The following is a 19773-nucleotide window of genomic DNA, read 5'->3' on the forward strand; positions in this document are numbered from 1 at the left end:
GACATTGTCAATCAGCAGCCTTGAGTCCTTGGAGATACCCCTCCTCAGACACTGTTGCATATAAGTCAGAGGAGGGGCTTTGAAAACTTGAACACTTCCGAAGGTTCTGTAACTATGCTTTGGCATCAACAGTGGAACATGGTTTCCTAGAAGGGAGCTGAGGTACCCAGAGGCCCTTCCCTAATAGCTGGAATTGTATATCTTGTACCATGAGGCATCTGGGGCCAGGGAGTCATCTGGCTTTGTGGCAACACAGACTGTGTGGACTAAATCATCGTGAGCATCATCATTTATTATACCATCACCATTATCACAACACGCTTTTCACAATTTTTTTAAGTCTTACAACAATCCTAATAAAGTAGACAGTTAAACCTTCAAGAGTATAAGCATTTGACTCAAACTCTTCAAGATAGGGAGTTAAAGAATGCAAAGTTGAAGCCAAGACTGTCTGCTTCTAAGACCTGCAGTACAAATACCATAAGTTAGTGTATATACTCAAACAAAGCCATGAACGCTGGGCTGTCAGATGGCAAGCCTAGTGCATACAGCCTGATAGCAGATTGACCGTGCCAGCTGTCACTTTTACAATCTCCATCACTCTAAGCAGAGCCTTTAAAGGGGTGGGGTTACACCTGCATAGTGAGGTGGGGGGTCAGGATCCTTCACCTGCTGGAACCTGAGCATGAAAGTACCCACACCACCACCAATCACAACATCATAATGACCAATCAATCAACCAAACCAGCAAGGACAACAACAAAAGCAATTTTTCCTGCCCACCACCCCGATAGGTGCACAAAGTCCTCCTAATAGTCCGTGACAGCCTACACAGCTGGGCATCATCTACCGCCCTGCTTCCCATTTCCTCTCAGATCTCATCTCCTGCCACTCTCCCACTGCCCCTGAATCCTAGCCACACTGACTACTCTGCTGTTCATCAAATACATCAAGAATTTCGTATGCCCTGCTTCCACTTCCTGGAAAGCTCTTTCCCCATGCCTGGTCAACCCCTCACCTTCCTCAAGTCTTTGCTCCATTGTCTCATCTTCCAGAACGCCGACCCTCGGCACCCTATTGAAGTTGTAACCTACTCTGCTCACCCCGCTGCACTCTTGATCTCCCTTACTCTCTTTTACTTTCTCACTTGTCCAAAGCCCTTGTCATCTTCTAACAGCCTCTGTGATTTACCTTCTCACTGTGACTGTTGTTATTGTCTGTCCTCTGCTAGAACAGAGGCTCCATGATTATATGGCTCTGTGTCTATTATCCATTCGCTTAGAATAGTGTTTGAATGAATGAAGGGATTTCCCAGCAGCTTTCAGACCCCTTGGGACCCAACCTGGCCCCCTAGCTGTTGAGAGGTAAGAGTGAACTCATGACACTGCACCCTTTGTATGGGTTTCCATACTCTAAAATTCCACGTTTGTATCTGCGTCATGCCGTTAAACCACACATCAAGCTTTTATGTCTGGTGGTACCTCAAAAGCTCCAAACAATTATGTTGATGATACTGGGCTGGACACCTTAAATTCTAGTGCTATATTACAATGAAACATGGGAAATTGAAAGTGTAGAAAGTTGTTCTGCAGCCAGACACCTCCAGTAGCTGCCGCTATGATGTAGAGCAACACCATGGACTTTTCTGTGCCTCAATTTTCTCATCTCTCAAGCTGGGTTCCTTTTATTTTTGAACCCACACACCCTGATGAGTTAAGAAAGAAAATGTTCTAAAACATGGGCAATAGAGAGGACATGATATTCATAATGAGTTTTTTTTTTTTTTTTTTTGCCAAATGTTGCTCATCATGTTTAAATTCTAAAGAAAACGTCCTAGAGTCAAGCAAAAGGATGACCTTAATAGAGCAATAATAATAACAATAATGAATAATTTAAAAGATCCTTTTTCATACATAACCTCATTGCATAATGAACATCTAATGTAGAAAGACATCTCTATAGGTAACAGCTAAAGTTAAAAATTTGGTCTTTTAGAGCAGCATTATTTCAAGTGTGACTGTCCTCAGACAAAAACACTAATGCTCTTTAGAAATTAATGTAGCAAATGGAGGGGCTTTAATAATAACAGTTTTGATTTTAGAGTTTTTAACAGAAGTATAAAATTTGACATTCTCATAGCTCCTGTCCTTGTATTCTCACTCCTACACTTAAAAAACTCCTTACTGACTAGTTACATGAGATGCTAAAAGTTACAACATTGCAGTTGCTGATACAAATGGTGTTAACTGGAAGTACTAAAGCATTCTAAATGTCTTGCTTATTTCTGGTATACTCTTCAGGGGGTTTAGACATGTTTAATGTTTAAATGCCAAGTCTTACTATCATGTTTATTGATCTTATAAAATAAGTAAATAGGATATGATACACTTTTGGTTAAAAATTACTGGGTCTCATTTTTACTTCAGTCTTTAAAACAGTAGCGTGTCACTATAATGTGATAACATCATCTTTAAGAAATAGCAGAATACTTAAGCCTTTCAAAGTGATTTTGATTTTTAGATCATCAGATGTATGATGAAAATGGTTAAATGTTTGTGATGTGAGCTCTGTACTCAATGGCATAACAATATTTGTTTTTATAATATACAATCTTTCCTTGAAATAAAGGATGAAACACTTTTCCCTTAAAATAATAATAATAATTGGTGGGTAAAATATACTATAAAGACATAACATTCCCAATTTTAATAATAAGATTAAAAAAATCCCCCAAAGGATCAAATGAACTGTTATTTCAGATTATGAAGGTTTTTTTAAATTCACATTTTCAGATTTATTGGCTGAATTTTTGTCGATATCTATCTAACGTCATTTATGATAGAAAAAGCTTTGAAAAGCTTAGGCTAAATTTGTACACTTTATGTGGTATGTGTGTATCAACACATGTACTTATTTTAATGTAGGTATAATTATTACTGAATTGTGGCTTTCAATGGGAAGCTCACTAGGGACAGTTAAATCTGCCTGCATTTAGCTTTCACTGAAACTCTAAAATTATTTTTTCGTAATGTTCAGGTTTTGAAAAAAAGGCGAACTGTTGTTTGTCTCAAATAGTCTTTCCATAATTTTTCAGACTGGTATTTTAAGGCAAATTTAATCCATATAGTTCATACTCATTTACACTTAAATTATCCAACTAGAGCTTTTAACAGCTATTTAATGTCCCAGACACCTTTTGAGCTTTTAAAGTGAGCTCCTAAAAGCCTTTTCCATCTCATTCATCCTCCTCTCATCATCAGTTTAAGAGATTGCATTTTGCTCAGAGTAAACAAATTGAATACTGAAACTTTTGGTTATTTTTCCTCTCGGTTTATGACCTCTGAATGTAAAGTGGCTTTCAGATGTGACCTAACTGATTTTCCCATCCCTACGAGCCAATAGAGAGTGTGTGTCACATTACACTTACTTACGAACAGCTATATAGCCAGCAAATGAGGCAATCTCTGACCCCTCGTTGGGCACCCAGAGCATATAAATAGATAATTACAGAAACTCAAACTTCTATGACATTTTTCATCTGAAAATTTCCAGGGCTTCCTTTAGAATGGCATAAGCATGCATCTTAGAACTTGCCATAGTCACAAATATACCTAGTTATATCTCTCAATATCTCCACCTTTTCACAGATGGCAAAGGCTTAAGCAGCTGTAAACCAGGGAACTGGACGTCCTTCCTTCCAGGCTTATGGTTCTTTGAATTGCAGAAAGGTCACATTTTAAGAGAGAGAGAGAGAGTGTGTGTGTGTGAGAGAGAGAGAGAGAGAGGAAGGCCTGATAATTTGAGACTTGCACAAACACCCATCTCTTTAAAATCGCGAGGCCACTAATCACGGGGTTTGAATTTGATGAACTCTAGTCATTCTTTTTAGGAAGAAAAGGCTTTACAGCTGCTGCTTATGTTGTTGCCACCTATTCTTATTCATTCCTTGCCCTCTCGGGCAGCAGATATCATCTTCCTGGATGTTTGAAAGGCACATCAAAAGTCATTTGCCCAATTTCTCTTCACTGATACCAGTTCGAATCCCAGTACTCAGTGTATTCCACGTCCTATTCCCAGGGTCCTCTGCGACATGTTTTTATACCTTTAGATTGGTGAAAAGAAAACTGGAAAGGCCTGGGGAAACAGTGAGGTAAAGCAAAAAATTCCTCTGGAGGGATGCTCAGAGAAAGCAGACCTTGTTGGCAGGGGCAGAATTGCATCAGAACGTCTACTTTGATGCCCCGAGGGAGCAGAACCCAGGTCACACTGACCTGGCAGGAGGCTGTACAAGTGTGGGAAGGGAAGGCCTTCCACCTGCAGTGTGGCCAGCCAGCCCCTCCCACCATGCACGAGCAGACCCGCTGTTCTGGGTGGCTGCATTTTCCTAATAAGACTTTGCACAAGCCGCTAAATGAAGCTGGCTGCCCGCTTGAGTACAATCCCAGCCCCATTTCAGTTTACCCATTTCCTCAGAATGTAATCTCACCTCCTCACTATTGGATTCCTTCAGGGCCTTGTAACTGATGAATAGAGGCCACCAGGAGGGGGTGGGAGGCAGGTGGGCAGGCAGTACAGAAACCACAGCACAGCACACTCAGAGGGCGCCTTCTAAAAAGCCACAGAATGTGTGGGTTTCAAGGTGCAAGGGGACCTCAGAAAACACGCAGTGCAGCCCTCATCTGACTTCGGATTCCCGTATGTGATTGCCCTGCCTCTGCTGAAGCATCCTGTGTAATAGGGAGCTCAATACCTCTGGGGCAACTTTCTTAGGAAGTTCTCCTTTGTTTGGAGTTGACATTTACCTCCCAGAAACTGTGTTTTATAAACCCAAACAGAAAATTCCTCCTCTGAATCACCCAGTTATGAAAGAGAAATGAGCCATTCTTGCAATAGAAGCATTTGATTTGAAAAAAGGTACCTCTTATGAGCCCTTTGGATGGTACGTATTAGACGAATTTGTTCAAAACACCTTAAATAAAAGTGCTACCAGCCCCCACCCTGATTTCTACCAACCCAAGAGAATGAGGCACTCATTCTTCAGCTGGTTGTGGTCACAGAGGTGCTAGTTACATAAATAGCTGTATCTGCCATTGATCACCTATTTTGTATATTTTATATTCATTATCTTATTCCTTACATTTGTATGGTAATTTATATGTGTCACTATTTCTACCTTACAGAAGAGGAAATTAAGGCTCAATTAAATAATCTACACAAGGAAACACCTTCCCTAAGTGACAGAACTGGGATTCAAACTTGGAACTATCTAAATGCAAAGACTATGGCTTATTAACTATCATGTAATAATGTGTACGTACATTCATGCATATGAACAAATATATACTCAAATATATACTTAAGCCTTTTTATTGGGGCATATGTATTTATATGTAAATATATGTGCTCATATGTATATTTGTATGGGTATAAAGGAAACTATATATACAAATATATGTAATGTATTTATAGATATATATTTTACACATAAATAATTATGTAAATATGAAGATTGCCATAAATACTGGGTGTGGCCTCACTACAGAGCTAAGCAGGACATGTGGCTTGGCTTGGTTTAACTTGCAGATTGTTGCTAAAGACTAAGTTTTCCACCCAAGTCAACTGGCTACACACATCTGCCCTCTTGGGAAGAACTCAGCCCTTTTCCTTCAGAGAGCAGGTACAGCCTCTCACCTCCAGGTGAGCAGCCCACTCACACTAGACCCCCCATCTCTCTTTTTTCTGGTCAACCTTCAGAAGCCTCTCTTGGTCAGACGTTTCTAGCTCCCTGGTCTGATGCTCCAGTGCCCCCCAAAACAAAGCACCCACTGGCACACCCTTGTTTTTGTAAATTACTCATCATTCTCACCCGTTCCCATGGGCAGAATTGGGGTCCCAGTGTTTTGTTCCCAGCCCTGGACTCTCAAGGCCTGAAGGTTTGCATTCCTGAAGCTCACCTTCTGGTCTTAGGTTTTCACACACTTCTCTAATGAAAGCACAGTGGGGCACCCACGGTGTGCTCAGGAGGACATTTCCCATAGGATTGCAGCACCCATGAAGGTGACCAGAGGAATGAATCTCCTTTGGGTCACTTCCCTCTGCCCCACACGAGAGCCCATGGAGGTGGGTACTCGGCTGCCTGGGCCACTGCCTGTGCATTTCCTTGCTTGGTGAAGCCCTCTTCAGCCCAATTCAGGGGAGATGAGCAAGATGGGGGACAAACTGCACCGATCTGCTGGGATTTCTGGCAGAGGTTTAAGAGTTTTTCATTGCTGGGCAGATTTCATTCAATACCAGGTTCCTGCCAAAGAAGTTTTGCTGAGGCCAGGTGCAGTGGCTAGCACCTGTAATCCCAGCACTATGGGATGCCAAGTCTGGAGGATTACTTGAGCCCAGGGCAGCCTGGGCAGCATAGGGAGAATTCATCTTTACAGAAAATTTTGAAAGGTTAGCTTGGTGTGGTGGTGCATGCCTGTGGTCCCAGCTACCTGGGAGGCTGAGCGGGGAGGATGGTTTTAGCCCAGGAAGTGGAGGCTGCAATGAGCTATGATCCTGCCACTGCACTCCAGCCTGAACAACAGAGACATACCCTGTCTCAAAAAAAAAAACCCAAGCAAACAAAAAAAGAAGTCTTGCTGAACCTGCTTCACGCCGGGGTTTTGTGTAACTAGGGTGGGAATGCCATGTGTATTTTTTTTTATGTTTTATTTGATTGCTGGTTGAGAATAAATCATGGAGAGTTCCAGGCTTGGTGTAATCCAAATTGGAATCAAGTTAAGAAGCAGAGCTAAAAACCAATCTAGGAGCACTTTTAATGTTGACTGGGTCTGTCAAGTTCCCGAGACACCAATAACTTACTGTGGAGAGGAGAATTACAGTTTGTGCTGAAATACAAGGTTTGTCGATAGAAAAGGAATGAGGGCAGTAAACGTTAAGTGATCGCCTTTAGAAAGCCAGGGAAGACTTCTTTGGTTCGCTAAAGGAGAAATGCCCTATAGCATCTTGTCATACAGGAAAGTCATATTTGGATTTTCCAAAAAGAAGCTGAGGTATGTACAAGAATTTGAGTTACTCAAAAACAAAGACGGTGAACTAGTGTCCTCCTGTGCATGTAAGCTTGGACTGGTTGGTACTGGCTGCATCCAGGGTCCACGGCGAAGAGTAGCCCAATTCATTGGTGATGTCTGCAGCTGGCATAGAGGGGAGACACAGAGACACACATGCAACTGCCTACCCTACTCCAGGGATTGCCTGGACACACGGTGTGATTAGGATTATCCCATTTTACTCTGGAGCTGCTAAGCTCTCTGGATGGATTTGATAGAGTGAGAACCCTGCAAAGAGGTCTCAGAGGTCTTTGGAATTGGCACTCATCTGACTTCAGAAATTATACATGGACCCTTACTAGAGGCAGGAGAATGGGCTAGTCTCTGTCATACCACCGTAAAACCTGGTATCCCTGCAAAGCACTTGAGCCCATAAGCCTATAATCCTTTGTTCTCCCTGGTGTGTTTGCTGAATTTGTGCTTGCTTTTATTTTGATACCTTAGCATATTGCCTTAAAGTAAGATTAAGGTGTGCTCTATATTATGCGTTTTACTCCAGACTTCCTGTGTCTCTGACCAGCTGCCTTGACCATTATCATGGATGGGCTCTGGGCAGGTTAGTGGCATGATACCTATCTTATATGCAAGCATGACTGGGGAAGAAACACGGCTTCTCTCAGTTCACTTCTATATCTAGTTTTGCAGTGCCATAAGTTAGCCAGTGAGTATTCTGTAGGACTTGGCTGATAGCCAGAAATAGTCTTAGGGTTCTTGAAGTCGTCCACATTTTGGTAGCAACTTCATTACAATGTAGTCCAACAGAACGTTCTGCAATGGTGGAATGTTCTGTAACTGTCCTTTCCAGGACACTAGCCACCACTTACATGTAGCTATTGATCACTTGGAATGTGGCTACAGAAACTGAGAAACTAAAATTTTTAGTTTTGCCTAATCTAGTTAATAAAATAAAATTAAATAACCACCTGTGGCAAGTGGCTACCATTTAGCAATGCTTCTCGAATTTTAGCATGGATAAGAATCATCCGGAGGGCTTGTTGAAACATAATCCATCCCCTGGGTCCCACTGTCAGGAATTCTGAATCAGGTCTGCAGTGTGATGAGAAGACTTGTATTTCTAACAAGCCTCCAGGCGCTGCTGCTGCTGCCTGCCCAAGGACTTCACTTTGGGGACCCTTGACAGAGGAGCCCAGAATCATTTAACTCAGGGGTTCTCAAGCGGGGACAACTGTGCCCCCTGGAGGACATTTGGCAATGCTTGGAGACCTTTTTTATGATCACAGTTTGGGGAGGGGGGTGCTACAGACATCTATTTGGTAGGTCAGCGATGCTGCTAATATCCTATAATGCACAGAACCCCCTTCCCAAACTGTGATTGTAAAGTATAAAACTTAAAATGCCAGTGGCGCTAAGATTGAGAAACTGCTCACTGCTCATGCCAACCAGATCCTGGCTGCAGAGATAGTTGCAGTAACATCTTTTCTATTTAATGTTAACCTGTGTCCTTGACAGGCTGTGACCTTATTCCCTCACCAAATATTATAATATCATTCATTCCTTCAACCCTAAGACTGTTGAGGAAGCTTCAACACCCTTCCCATTCAGCTGGGAAGTTGGACACTGGCAGTGGAGGTTGGTACTTGAGTGTCTTCCCCTGGATTCTACATTGGGAGCCCAGGCAGGTGTGCACCAGACACCAGGTCCTAGTAGAGTGCTGCCAGACAGGAGAGGGAGTGGCTTCCTTATCTGGTCTCTGAGAGGAAGAGCACAAAGAATGTCTGATTTTTGCAGAAACATTAGTCAGCAGGAGCTGTGCTGCAGGCATTAACCCAAGAAGTCCATTAGGACAAAAAATAAGGAGATGAGGGCACAGGTTCTCATGCCAAGGTTCTGCTATTCCACATGAAGGCCACCCTTGCTTTCCCAGGGCTCTACTGCTGCCAGACAGCAGCCTCTGGGAGAGGCAGTGAACAGGCTCTGGAGTCCTGGGGAGTCAGAGGTCAGAGGAGGAGAGGTCTCCCTTGAATGTCCCTTTGCCTTGCAGACCTGAAGCCAGCACATGCTTCCTCAAGGAACGCAGGCACTTTCAGCCTGCTTGTGGTAGCAAATGCTCCGTGTTTCTGGAGGATGTTCTTACTTCAGGTCTTAAAATCACAGGTATGTATACTGCCTCTACCACCACTAAATGCTCCCCCAAAAGTCTCAGAGAGCAAAGTCTCCCTCACTTCCTCCATTTTTCTGCCCCCTCTTCCATTTTCAAGCTCTGGACTCCAAAGGAGCTTCGGGAGCCTCTAAATGCTTAACAGCCCCCCGATCTATAGCCCCCGGCTTCGTTCGAGTCCGTTTGGAGAACTGTTTCCTTCAGGTTTCTCTGCTTAGCCATGGAAGATCCCCAGGCCTCAGTGGTGCGTCACTGACTCGAAATTGGACGGAACTAATCTCACGGCTGTATGGCCCTTCCATTTTTTGTCGGAAATGAAAATCTAAAATAATTCTGCAACCATCTTCATGGCCTGAACCCGCTTTCCGTTTTTAGATCCCCAAACTATTTTGTAATGCTCAGAGGCCTTCTTGAGTGCAGCTGCTCTCTCTTTATATGACACAGCTAAAGTCTATTAGCACTTTTGAGTCTTTGGCTGGCCATACCCCGTCAACCACCCCCTTAGCAGCTTGGGACAGAGCCGGCCACCGTGTGTGATGGCACAGTGACAAGGTGATTGCTCACTTGAGGATAGCACATTCTGTCTGCAGAGTGACTTGGTCGAAGCAGGTTGGTTCGTAGGGAAAGCTGGGTCCCCTCAGTCTCATGCTCCCTGATCATTTCTGCAACATCCTAGGCCCCTTTCTCACCTTCACATAACAACTGCATGACCTGAGCAAAGTCGCTTGGTCTGAGACTCAGTTTCCTCTTTCGTAACGTGGAGCTAACACTAGCTCCCTGAGTTGTTTAAGGTGTCAATTTGATAGCACTTATTCATGTGCTGGCACAGTGCCTCGTCCATGGTGGGGGGTATTCGGAAACGCTGAAGCTCTTCTGTGGTGTCCATACCGGTGAATCACAACTCCCACGTCCAAGACCCGCCCCTGTGTGAAGGTGCAAGGCAGTGTCTCTGAACAGGAAGTGAGGGGTGCACGGGGAGGAGGTTGCTGCATTCACCTCTGGATTATCCTGAGGTGAGAAGGGAATTATGCTGAGCGAGTGTGACTGCAGAGAATGCTGTATTTGTACAGAAGGCTATTTTTACACTTTGGCTAATGAGTTTTGACCTGTGTGAATTTGGTCTCATAATTACACAACTCAGATTTCCTGTTAGCCAATCAGACTGATGTTGTGATCTCAGCCATTTCAACAATTCTCGATTATCAGAGCAGACACCAAGGATCAGGAAAAATAACTAATGTTCTCTTCTTCTGAAGATGTCTTATGTGAGCAGAACTGGCTTTCTGGGGTGACAAAGCTGAAGGAAGCTTTCTCTTCCCATTTGTCAATGCCAGCTCTAGTTCCTCCCAGTGTATACCCTCCCAAGCTCAGGGCAGTAATCGGACAGGCTTCAGAATCCCCAAATCTATGCCCTGTAGTCACTGTGTGCCCAGCAGGACCAGATGCTCAAGGATGGCTGCTGGGTTGTGGATGGGCAGGGCTGTAGAGACCAGACAGGGAAGAAGATGCAAATTCAGGGGCCTGCAGATGACCAGGTCACCATGTGAAGGTGAGTGGAAGGGCACCCTAAAGCTGCAGCCATACAGGCCAGCTATAAAGGAGAAAACAGGGAGAGGTTTCAGAGATGCAGGGTGGTTGTTCACTCGCCAGGCAGGAGGTGAAAGTGGCTTCTCCAAGGCAGTGGTGGCAGAGGTTATGGGGGAAAGTCAGGCTTGGGGTCTGTTTTAAAGGCAAAGCCAACAGGACGAGCTGAGGAAGGGGATGACACATGCTGTTCCTGTGGCCGCTCCTCACTGACGGGCTGCAGCCTGGACTGGGGAGACCACATCCACTCTAGGGACAGACACACACCTCGAAGAAGACAGTCTGAGCTACAGTCATCAGGCTGTGTTTGTTTCCAGCACTTAAGGATATAAACACCAGCCCAGCAGGTTGTGGGAAGTGGCCATGGGCTTGAACTCAGCCCGTCCAGCTCTGTCTGGCCTCTAGCATTATAAATTATGTAGCTGTCTTCATCTATTATTCAGCATAATTTATTTTGGACATTTGCATCAGCAATTTATATACAAAATAAACCAGATGCCAAAAGAGGGAGGAGAGAATTAAAATGGACATGCGTGGAGGTGGGGGGAGCAAAGGGGGGCCGAGCCGGGGACTAAGAGCCCTGTCATTAATCAAACACGGGCTCTGCAGTGACAGGAGGAGACGAAAGAGCAGGCTGGGAAGCACTTGGAATGAGAAGAAGTACCCGATTAGCCCTCCCCAGGTCCCAGCCTTGTGTACTTGGGACATTTAGATTTCGCTTGCAGAATCCCACATCTCCCACCTCCTTAGAACTACAACCATGGGTGCAAGAAGCAGAATCTACCAAGACGTGGGCAGCCCTCACCCCAACCAGTTCAGCCAAAAGTGAGGGTGCCTCCCTGGGTGGGGACCCAGCACCAAACCACAGTCCTTGACCCCAGAAGGAAGTGTCTCAATTACCCAATGTCCATTTAGTGAATTCAGTGGCCTAACCATTGTCTGTCTTCACCGCCCAGTGCAATGATTTCAGATTTGGAAATGGCTTCTAACAGGAGTCTGCTTTGCACAGAAAAGTCCTTTACAACCAGTTCTGGGTACTAATGAGGAGCAAAGGAGAGGAACAGGACAGCACATAGGAAAAGAAGGACAGAGTATTCTTTCTGGTCCCAATCAACTGTAGCTTTTGGGAGAAACGACTAAGCAGGTGCCGTGTTTTGTTTTATTTTTCTTGTTTCTTTTTCCTGTCCAAAGCCTCTAATCCTTTCCTCTGCCATTCATATCTGGTAGCAGAGAAAAAACTGGAGGGGAGGAGGAGGCATAGTCGGGAAAAATATGGGGACGGGGGTCAGAGGCAAGAAACTGCACCAGGGGAGCACTTAGAGAAAGGAAACCACATTCCAGTTGCGGCAGAATCAATAAAAGATTTTGTTTTGTGTTTCTGAAACCTTCAGGGTATGATTGGAAACAGTTATGAAGTACAAGTTTTCCTGTGGCAGAAAGATGTTTCCATTGTTTTGTTTTGTTTGTTTTGTTTCGTTTTGTTTTAAATGCATCTCTGCCTTACCTTACTTGCGGGCCAGTGAGCTAGCCTAAAATCGAAGCTCTGTGAAGCCCGCTCTTGCCATTTTATTTTTGAAGGCTGTCCCTTGGCCACATCTGACCCACCAGCTCCTGTCATTAGCATCTGAGTGTTAAGCCAGAGGAACTCAATCTGGGAACACCACCAACGTGGCCAGTAAGCTGCAATTTAGTTAATGTGCACTCCTTGTAGGCCCTGGTTTTGGCCCGAGTGTATTTGGGTAGAGTGTGTGGTGGTGATGGTAGGGAGCTAGAGAGGAAGGGGAGGGTGATGGACTCATTTGCAAGAACTGCCCAGCTGAGATAACATTTAAAATGAACAGGAGAAGGTCCAATGCTTTGTAATCCTCCAGCAGCTGCTCATTTTGGGTTGGGATCAGGAAGGAGCACTTTGCCATTAGTCCCCGAGCCAAAAGTGGCCGGTGGTGGTTTCTGGTCTCCCTAAGCCACCTCCAAAGGGGTCACTCAGCTGTGTCCTAGGGAAGCGAAACAAGAGAAAAAGAACAAGATGGCTTGTACGCTCCATCCATGTGTGTGGCCCCAGGGATGCCCCTGCAGATGGGCCTGGTTGGAGATGGTGATATCTTGGATGGGTTCACTGCAGCTCCGTGCCCGAAAAGGGCAGCTGGTGGGCTTGTTCCGCTGTTCTTCAGCCTGTCACTGCACCACTCTTAACAAGTTATCCACATCCCAGAGATGCAGATTATGCCTCAGCTTAGAGGGCCAAGCTTCCCTCCAAGAGACTGAGCCTGCAAAAAGCTGCCAGAGTCCCTGTAGCCTGCCCAGATCCTGCCTGAACCCAGCCCAAAGAGATGGTTGTCATTCCAGGCAAGGGCTCACCCGGGCCAGATGCCTTCCTTCCCCAGGCCTGTGGTTTCTCCCACTTGAGGAAGAATTGCTATTTCTTTTGCTGTATCATTACAAATAAAACAAAACTGACTTTGAACATATTAATGATAACAGATGGCTTCATAAAATGTAAACAGAGCAATGAAAGTACAAATGGGGGTCCTACCAGTAATTAACTTTTGATTTATACAGTCCCAAGGAATTTGGAGCTAGTACTGCCTTTCTCACCATTAGGTGGTAATCCTCTTTCCATCATCCTCCTAGGCTTGGCCTTGTTGGCTTTTCCATATCTCTTCCCTGACCCTCCATCCCAAGCTCAGAGGTACCTGCAAGTTTCACAGCACTGAAGAGTGGAAATCAACGCTTGCAGTCATCTCTTTGGAATCTGTCAATAGGCTGCCTCATTATGACAGCCATGAAGTACTTGGGGGACATGAAGTGCTCTGTAAATGTGTATTATTCTTGCTGTAATTATGACACAGTAGTAATAACTCAGCTCGTTGGGGCATTTTCACAGTAGCTCATATTCTCTTATTTATTTGGCAATCAGGCACTTTGCTACTTATGGATGGAAAATATTCTTTGGTGCCAAGGTCAGGTCACTGGATAAAGCCAACAGAGTAGAGAGATTCTGATTTCTCAGTTCACCTTGAGTTCAGAAATATTCTCAAAATCATAGTAACAGAAAACCACAGAATTAATTCAGCTCTATAGGCTCATGGTCTGAGTAGTGAATCTTCTTAGATCCAAACATTGGCACCTCTGCCTACCAGCTGGGCAACCCTCGGCCCGTGACCTGACTGACCTTCCAGCAGCTCGCTTCCCTCATCTTTAGAATGAAGGTGCTGATATCAAATTCCCCAATGCGAGTGCTGTATTAATTAACACGGGAAAGTGCTTGAAACAGTGCCTAGCTCATAATAGGTGTTCAGTAAGCGTAGCTGCCATGACTGGCCACAATCACCACAACAGAGCTGAAAGATGCCTCTAGAGATCATCTAGTTCTGTGTCTGCATACACAAAACAAAACAAAAGAAAAACTGAGGCCTACAGAGAGCCCAGGACTTATCCGCACTCAGTCAGGTAGTTTTGATAAAGGATTTGTGTTACCTCTGTGAGGCCAGTATAGGAAAAAGGGCCTTAAGTTATGGCAAACTGGATTTAGAACTCTTATGAAGTTTCTAGTCTTAATTAGGAAAAGGATGGATTAATGAAAAGCAAGATGGAAACAACACGTAGTAACTATAGTGATTAACATTTAAGTGTTTATGATAGATACCAAATATTCTTCAAACAGCTTCCCATGCATTACATCATTCAGTCTTCAAACAGCCCTATGAAGCACGTATTATTAGGAATGACATTTTATAGATGAGGGAACTGTACAGAGAGGCTAAGTTACCTGCACCAGTTGGCACAGCAATTAAGTGACAGAGCTGGGATTTGAAATTTCCTGTGGTCACTGCAGAGCCCTCTATGAGTGAGATAATTAAGCGGGGATATAGACTGACTGGATGTACCCCAAATTTTCTTCCAGTGCTATGATTCCTTCAACAAATATTCCCTATGTCTCCACACCACCTGAACTCCACTCCCCCTCCTGCCCCTTGGCAGGCACTGGAGTAGACTTGGAGGACACAGGGTTAACCTCATTTTTGGCTCTTGCCCTCATGGAGCTATAATCTGTGGTTCTAAAAATGCCGTGATTCGTATTTATGGTTTTGGGGGGTTAGGGGTGTTCCACTCCAGCCAGGACAGAGCCCCCTTCTTTTTACCCAGTCAAATGCTGATGGTTGTGATCCAAAGAGCCTACTATGACAAACTCCTCCCAACCTCTTTCTTGTATCCCTGAAGGAATTCCATCCCGACATGGCGGTCCTCTTCCCTTAATTAACTAGACACTTCCTAAATGATGACCTGAAGGCATCTCTTCCTGTTCATGGCCAGCTCAGAGTGGCAATGGCAATAATGTATCTAGATTAATCACATGTGATATTTTAACATCTAAATTAAATGGCAAGCAAGCCCCGAATCCATTACCTTCTCTATCACTACTAAAATCAAGCTAATGGGACCAATTCAATTTTTCTCTTACAGAGGGAGCTTCAGAGGGCACAAAAGCCAATAAAGAGCACAGTAACTCTGTCCTAGGGGAGAGGAGGAGGAGCTGGATAAACAGTCAACATAGCCCAGAGGAGCCCAAACCAGCGCAGTTTAACAACAGCAAGGACCACGTCCACCCAGCACCCTGAGAGAGAGTCCCTTGGCACCCACTCATAGACACATATAGCTCAGTAGACTCTTGTCATGAGCCAGTCTCACTGGGATTGATAGTGATTCCAAAATATATTTCATTTCATCAATTCCAGTTAAATTATTGCATCTGAGGAAAAGAATTTGCCTCGGCTGATGTGCCGGTGTCAGCTCGAACCTGTTTCAAGGAGACCGTCGTGTTAGGGGGGGGTGCTGTCCTCACCAGCCTTCGCCCCTGCACACCCTCTGTGCTGCTGCCTCAGCTGAGTGGATACCAATGGCCCCGGAGGGATCCTGTGAACTCCGAGGATGGCGCCTGTGCCCCAGGCATGGGATCCCTGTTTCACCCCAGCCGCACCCTGCACCGGCTCCTCACGGGCTTCTTTGGAGGCACACTACATCCTGGTACCATCTAAGCACATAAATCAGCTGTCAGCTGTACACCCAAATATCTCCATTCTTGTGATTTTGTCAGATCATCACCACTAATAGGATGTTGAAATTCATAAATGTGTCTATTCCAGTAATAGGGCGGTGTGCTGCCATCTCCCAGTTTGAAAAGAGAGAGGTTTTTGCTGAGGACACGAATCCCACACGTCTCAAGAGGGCACCTGGCTGACTTGAATTGGGGAGGTGATTTCCTCCTGGGAGAGGCTGCTGAGCTCTTTAATACCGAAACTTTAAATATACCGGTGGCTGTGAAGCACAGCCAGCAACCTAAGAATTGCTCAGAAAATCACAGGATTTTAAATCAAGGAAAGAAAAAAAAAGGCCGTTCCATTCTCCCCCTCAGGCTGGATTCCCTGTTTCTTTGTCTGGAAATGCAGTGGCCCTCCAGGGTGAAGGGCATCTGCAGAGCAAAGCCAGACAGCAGCCAGGAGGCCACCTGCCTCCCCAGAGAGTGCCTTTTCATCGCCAGGAGCTGCAGTTACAGTCTCCTAGGGGTCCCAGCAAAGAAGCATTCGACTTAATCGCTAAGATGCCCTGCGGTGCAAACGCTGGGCCCTGTGACCACATGCAAAAGGAAGTTGGGTCAGGCTTTGGCCCAGAGCGCGACATGACCAGTGTCCATTTCCTGAGCAGCAGTGGAGTGCCCCGACCAAGTCTGGGAACCTGGGGACTCTGCCCTGAGAGCTGGGGCTGGGTTGATCCAACTTCTTAGGTGAGGTTTTCATCTTTATTGGGAGACCTTTGTCCTTGGGATGGGAGATGTCCCATTCATTAATTATTGTGCTGGCTCTGAATAATTGCGGCCAGAGACTGCTATGCTGGGCAATTTCCAGTTCTACCGTGGCTGCTGCCGTGACACTGTATACGTCTTTCACTGGTACCGCACTGCATTTTACAAGACATGGTCCCTTCACCCGCTCAGCTGTTCCCCATAATAACATGAGGAGGTGAGCATAGCAGGTGTTCACACCCCGGTTTTACAGACAGAAACAGTTGGAAACCTGGAGGCCGAGGTTCATAAAGGTTAAATGTGGTGAAGGTCACACAGCATACATAAACACTTAACAAAACAGGACTAGATTCCTAGTTTTCTGCTTCTAATTCCAGTTCTTTCCGCTATAGCTCATGGAAACAGAATCTCAGAGAGAGTTTTCAAACTCATCCACAGTCCCTTCAGCACCTTCGCGGGCCAGCCACAAGCCGAGGTGCCCGCTGGTGCTCAACAGCGCCAAAGCGTGTGGCCCCTCCCAGGACGCTGCGCCCTGCCGGGCCTCCCCGTCCTAGAGCTCTGCTTCTTGCCACCTGCCCCCGCTTGGGCTGCCCCTCCTACTGCTCTCGCTGCCAGGCAGCTTGGGGCCTCCCACGAATTTATGGAAGGAGATTGGCTCCTGCAGAGCCCCTCAGCACGGGCCCAGGAGGCTTCGCATGAAAAATGATTGCACCGCACACGCGGAGGCTGTTTAAACCTGTCACTTTAAAATATCCCTTCTCCTCTGCCCAAGCTGGGCCAAGAGGAGCAGGTCCAGGAAAAGGAAATCAGTTTAAAGTGACAGCCCTTAATTTCTGAAGCCAAACCTCAGCATTTGTGGCAGACTTTTTATGTGCTGAGGTCTCAATTTAAAACCAAAGTGTCCCAGTGGCACCGCGTAATTCTCGGTAAGTTTCTGCACCTTGTGCTCAGGCCTTCTTATCAGAAAAAATCCAAAACTAGGAAGAGGCTTCATATTCATCTTGGAGCAGGCCCAGCACAGAAGCAGGCCAGGGCATGAAAGGGACAGCAAAGGCCCCCCGGAGAGCCAGCTGGGCCTGTTTAATTGCTTTTCTTTTGTTAAAAGCTGCTGTTACCAGGTTGCCCGGGGCAAGGACAGGATGCTCAGCATTCAGTTAAAATACATTTCATGATTGGAGGGCAGCTCTGAACCAAAGCCTGGTTATTTCTTAAATACGGTAGTCCCCCGCTTTAACCGTGGTTTGGCATGGTCTGAAAATATTATTTGGAAAATCCTGACCAGATCAATTGTCTTGGTATTGCAGTGTTTGTGTTCAAATAACTCTTATTTGACTTCGTAATGGCTCAAAACCTGTCAGTTTGAATATGTCAAAGAGAAGCTGTAAAGTACTTCCTTTAAGGGAAAAGGATTTTCCTTTTCCTGCTAAGATTTTTACCCAGAAGCAGAAAAATGAACAATTTAAAGGATTAAAAAAGAAAAGGGCTCCCAATGCATCCCACCATGCATTTTCCCTCACCGTTCTCAAATTAATAGGAAGACAAAAAAAATTGTATGCTGAGGTTACCAAGATCTACAGTAACAACAAATCTGTGAAACTGTAAAGAAAAAAAAGATGTACATAGTATATGCAGGATTTGGTACCGTTGGCAGCTTCAGGCATCCTCTGGGGGGCTTGGAGTATATTCCCTGAGGGTAAGGGGGAACTGCTGGACAAGTTTTCAGCATCCCACAAGACCGCACTTTGTTTTCACTTCTTCCAGGAAGTCTTCCCAGACCTGTCCAAAGCCTTTACTGTGCGCAGTTAGTGCGTATTTCCCTTTCAGTTTTATTGTGTGTGTGTGGATGTACATGTGGCGTGAATACATCATTTGTTGTCTAATAAGCTCTACTGTATGCACGTATTCTCACTTACGTGCCCAAGGCAATAGCTTGACTCTATTAGATATTTCATAAAAATGCCCTACTTAGATTTTTATCCAGAAGCAGAAAAATGATCAATTTAAAGGATTAAAAAAGAAAAAGCTTCCCAATGCGTCCCACCATGCATTTCTACTCACCGTGGTCTTAGAGTTTAGTTCCAAGGACACAGTTAGCTGCTTGGTGATACTTGTTGAATGAATGAAGAACTGAATACATTTTCGCATTTGTGTGGAAACACCACTCGCCAAATTCAGTGGAAAGGGGAACACTCATCTTGGCTCATGGTGTCATGAAGCGTGGTGATGCTGGTGGGGCTCATGGGCAGAGGTACAAATGCTAAGTGACAGCCTTTCATAAGCCCTAGATTGTGGCAAAGGCATTCACCCTCCCACTCCTATGGTCAAGGCGAGGTGCTGGACAGCCAGCTGCTGTCACTCGTTTCTATTTCTGCCTCCCCTTTCTCAACTTTCCTGTAGACCCAGAAGGGATGCTGACCTAAGGAACAAAAGCACAGGCCTTGAACCCTAACTGAAACAAGAGGTTTTCTCTCTAGTCCCCCACCACACCCAAACTTTCTTAGTTTATGAAGTTATTACTTTTAACAAGACCTTATCTGGCACTTCGCATTCCTAGAATGTTTGGTGGCCATAACTCAGTTAATCAGTCGCACGCAATAAAAGGCATCATAAAAGTAGATGGCATGCAGACAGTGGAGCAGCCTCAGCCTGGCCACCCCATCACAGCACCTCAGGGCCAGCTGGAGCCCATTTCACTGAGGACAGGCCCATTTTCCTGAGCTGTCTACTTTCGCAAAGTGCCGCATTTCCATGTTGCAGGACTCTGCTCCAGGGCTCTGCAGATCTGGCACTAGTATCCCCACTGTTTCTGAAATGTGGACAATCTGAGTGAAGAAAAGGGAGAAGAAAAGGGAAGGCAAATACTTCTGGGAGCCTGTGATTCAGACACCGGATCTGCCACCTCTCATAACCAGGGAGGGTGTGCAGGGCGCTTTCCACACATTTGCAAACAGATTTAATAATAAGGGGCTGTCTGCCTCAATGTGTCAAATTCCCCGCTAGCAGCACAAGAGAATATCAAGGAAGGAGGCAGAATGAGAAGCAATGCAAGGTCATGAGCTCTCCCTTTGTCTGTTCTAACATACGATATGATTTTCCTTCAAATGGAGATTTCATTGAAGCATAATCAGCCACCTAAGGAGTAGCTGCGGATGAAACATTTGAGGATA

The 19773-nt window shown here is 45.3% G+C and overlaps 1 protein-coding gene across 4 annotated transcripts in view, besides 1 other annotated feature; it reads right to left on the bottom strand.

Moving 5' to 3' along the window:
• The window catches only part of OPCML (opioid binding protein/cell adhesion molecule like), a 1117521-nt gene that overhangs the window by 796471 nt on the left and 301277 nt on the right, over window positions 1–19773 (bottom strand). The window lies entirely within an intron of this gene.
• Window positions 4401–4900: an enhancer, noted in NCBI's record as "H3K4me1 hESC enhancer chr11:133085747-133086246 (GRCh37/hg19 assembly coordinates)". NCBI's record gives its function as "activates a minimal SCP1, AML or CMV promoter by ChIP-STARR-seq in primed H9 embryonic stem cells {active_cell/tissue: H9 hESC(primed)}" and the evidence as "EXISTENCE:reporter gene assay evidence [ECO:0000049][PMID:30033119]".

This window comes from Homo sapiens, chromosome 11 (assembly GCF_000001405.40).
Source record: "Homo sapiens chromosome 11, GRCh38.p14 Primary Assembly".
Lineage (NCBI taxonomy): Eukaryota > Metazoa > Chordata > Mammalia > Primates > Hominidae > Homo > Homo sapiens.